Here is a 3,894-nt window from a genome sequence, read left to right on the forward strand (position 1 = left end):
TGCCTGAAAGTCCCACACCCTTATTAGGCAGGGACATATTAGCCAAAGCTGGAGCTATTAGCTATGAATATGGGGAACAAGTTACCCATTTGTTGTCCCCTGCTTAAGGTGGGAATCAACCCTGAAGTCTGGGCATTGGAAGGAACGAACTCAAGCTCCAGCCCTAAGCCTTCCCACAGGAAAAACTTCTCTTCATACATCACAGAGAGAGGAGGAATAGCTCTTGGAGTCCTTACTCAGACTCATGGGACAACCCCACAACCAGTGGCATACCTAGGTAAGGAAATTGATGTAGTAGCAAAAGGCTGGCCTCACTGTTTACGGCTAGTTGTGGTGGTAGCTATCTTAGCATCAGAGGCTATCAAAATAATACAAGGAAAACATCTCACTGTCTGGACTACTCATGATGTACATGGCATACTAAATGCCAAAGGAAGTTTATGGCTATCAGACAACTGCCTGCTTAGATACCAGGCACTACTCCTTGAGGGACTGGTGCTTCAAATATGCACCTGTGTGGCACTCAACACTGCCATTTTTCTCCCAGAGGATGGGGAACCAATCGAGCATGACTGCCAATAAATTATAGTCCAGACTTACGTCACCCAAGAGAATCTCTTAGAAGTCCCCTTAGTTAATCCTGACATTAACCTATAGACCAATGAAAGTTCATTTGTGGAGAATGGGATATGAAGGGCAGGTTATGCCATAGTTAGTAACAGTACTTGAAAGTAAGCCTCTTCCCCCAGGGACCAGTGCCCAGTTAGCAGAACTAGTGGCACTTACCCAAGCCTTAGAACTGGGAAGGGGAAGAAGAATAAATGTGTATACATATAGTAAGTATGCTTATCTAATCCTACATGCCCATGCTGCAATATGGAAAGAAAGGGAGTTCCTAACCTCTGGGGGAACCCCATTAAATACCACAAGGAAATCATGGAGTTACTGCATGCAGTGCAAAAATCCAAGGAGGTGGCAGTCTTACACTGCCAAAGCCATCAAAAAGGGGAAGGAGAGGGGAGAACAGCAGCATAAGTGGCTGGCAGAGGCAGGGAAAGACCAGCAGAAAGGAAAGAAAGAGACAGAAAGTCAGAGAGAGAGAGGAAGAGACAGACAGAGAGAAAGAAAGAGACAAAGAAGAAGTCAAAGAGAGAGAAAGAGAGATAGAAGTAGTAAAGAAAAAACATTGTACCCTATTCCTTTAAAAGCCAGGGAAAATTTAAAATCTATAATTGATAATTGAAGGTCTTCTCTGTAACCCTATAACACTCCAATACCACCTTCTTGGTGGTGTAAACAAGGGCACAGCCTGAAAGCACTGAGGCTACTGTCAACCCATAGACTTCCTATCAAAAATCCTTAACCCTGCAGGTTTCCTAACAGGGGATCTAAATCTTAATTAATTACCATACAAGGGTCTGACCAGATCTAGGAAGAACTCCCTTCAGGACAGGACGATAGATGGTTCCTCCCAGGCGATTAAGGGAAAAAGACACAATGGGTATTCAGTAAGTGATAAGGAAACTCTTGTAGAAGCAGAGTTAGGAAAATTGCCTAATAATTGTTCGGCTCAAACGTGCGAGTTGTTTGCATTCAGCCAAACCTTAAAGTACTTACAGTATCAGGAAGGAGCCATCTATACTAATTCTAAGTTAATATGGACTGAATGAGGTCTTATTAATAGCAAAGAATAATTGAAATCCCAAATTTACAAGGTTTTCAACAAAAGTAAAGTGTGCTAAAAGTTAACAGTGTAACATGTATTATCCTACTACCACACACTCTCAAAGGATTTCTCAGACAAGAAATAACAGAACTTATCTTTACTCCACAATCCGAAATAGACTCTTTGGCAGCAGTGACTCTCCAAAACCACCAAGGCTTAGACCTCTTCACTGCTGAGAAAGGAGGACTCTGTACCTTCTTAGGGGAAGAGTGTTGTTTTTACACTAACCAGTCAGGGATAGTATAAGATCTGTCCAGTGTTTACAGGAAAAGGCTTCTGAAATCAGACAATGCCTTTCAAACTCTTATACCAACCTCTGGAGTTGGTCAATTATGCCTTCTCCCCTTTCTAGGTCCCATGACAGCCATCTTGCTATTACTTGCCTTCGGGCCCTGTATTTTTAACCTCCTTGTCAAATTTGTTTCCCCTAGGATTGAGGCCATCAAGCTACAGATGGTCTTACTAATGAAACCCCAAATGAGCTCAATTAACAACTTCTACTGAGGACCCCTGGACCTTTCACTGGCCTAAAGAGTTCCCCTGTGTAGGACACTACAACTGCAGGGCCCCTTATTCACCACCATTCAGCAGGAAGTAGCTAGAGTGGTCATCGCCCAATTCCCAGCAGCAGTTGTGGTGTCCTGTTTAAAGCGGGTATTGAGAGGTGAAGCCAACTGGACTTCCTGGGTTAAGTAGGGACTTGGAGAACTTTTTTGTCTAGCTAAAAGATTGTAAATGCACCAATCAGCACTCTGTAAAAACACACCAATCAGCACTCTGTAAAATGGACCAATCAGTGCTCTGTAAAATGGACCAATCAGCAGGATGTGGGTGGGGCCAAATAAGGGAATAAAAGCTGGCCACCCAAGCCAGCAGCCAAAACCCGCTTCTGCTTGATTAATTCTGCTATTAAGAGATTCTGGCTCATTCTTCATTGTGTCAGTTGCATTTTTTCAACTCGAGAATTTCTGCTTCATTCTTTTGAATTATTTCAATCTCTTTGTTAAATTTATCTATTATCTTTAATTTCTTTGAGTCTCCTCAAAACAGCTATCTTGAATTCCCTCTGAAAGGTCATATATCTTTTATTCTTTAGGATTTGTACCTGGTGCCTTATTTAGTTTATTTGGTGAGGCCATGTTTTCCTGGGTGGTGTTGATGGTTGCAAATATTCTTTGGTGTCTTGACATTGAAGAGTTAGGTATTTATTGTAATTTTCACAGACTGGGCTTATTTAGTCTGTCCTCCTTGGGAAGACTTTCCAAGTATGTGAAGAAAGTTAGCCCTGAAACCCAATAATACTATAGTTTTTGCAGACTTTTAGAGGTACTGTCTTGTTGATCTTGGATAAAATCTAGAAGAAATTTCTGGATTACTGGCAAAGACTTTATTCTTTTTCTTTGCTTTCTCCCAAACAAATGGAGTCTCTCCTCTCCTCTCCCCTCCACTCCCCTCCCCTCCTGTCCTCCTCCCCTCTGCTCTCCTCTCCTTTCTCCTCCTCCTCCTTCTTCATCTTTTTCTTCTTGTTCTTCTTCTTCATCTTCGTCTTTATCTCCTCTCTCTCTCTCTCTCCCCCAAACCACCTGAAACTGGGGGTGTGGTCTATGGCCACCACGACTGGTACTGCACTGGGTTAGAACTGAAGCTAGTACAGCACTGGGCCTTGCCCAAGGCCCTTTCTTTCAGGGTGGCAAGTTTTCCCAGGAATTGCAGTCCTTGTGTCCTAGACTACCTTTCAAATTTACCTAGGACCCCAAAGCACTTCAGCCCACATTGGTGAGGCTTGCCAAGAAAATGAAGTTCAGGCTGGGCATAATGGTTCATGAACGCAATCCTAGCACTTTGGGAGGCTGAGGCAGGTGGATCACTTGAGGACAGGAGTTCGAGACCAGGCCAACATGTTGAAACCCCACCTCTACTAAAAATATAAACATTAGCTCAGCATGGTAGCATGCACCTGTAGTCCCAGCTACTTGAGAGGCAGAGGCATGAGAACCTCTTGAACCCTTGAGGTGGAGGTTACAGTGCACCAAGATCATGCCATCACACTCCATCCTGGGTTACAGAGCAAGAACCTGTCAGAAAGAAAGAAGGAAGGAAAGAAAGAAGGAAAGAAGGAAAGAAAGGAAGGAAGGAACGAAGGAAGGAAGGAAGGAAAGAAAGAAAGA

General features: G+C 43.3%; 1 annotated feature.

Annotated features, from left to right (window-relative positions):
* Window positions 2,203–2,403: a silencer, noted in NCBI's record as "peak624 fragment used in MPRA reporter construct". NCBI's record gives its function as "represses an SCP1 promoter by STARR-seq MPRAs in K562 erythroleukemia cells {active_cell/tissue: K562}" and the evidence as "EXISTENCE:reporter gene assay evidence [ECO:0000049][PMID:32103011]".

This window comes from Homo sapiens, chromosome 1 (genome assembly GCF_000001405.40).
Source record: "Homo sapiens chromosome 1, GRCh38.p14 Primary Assembly".
Lineage (NCBI taxonomy): Eukaryota > Metazoa > Chordata > Mammalia > Primates > Hominidae > Homo > Homo sapiens.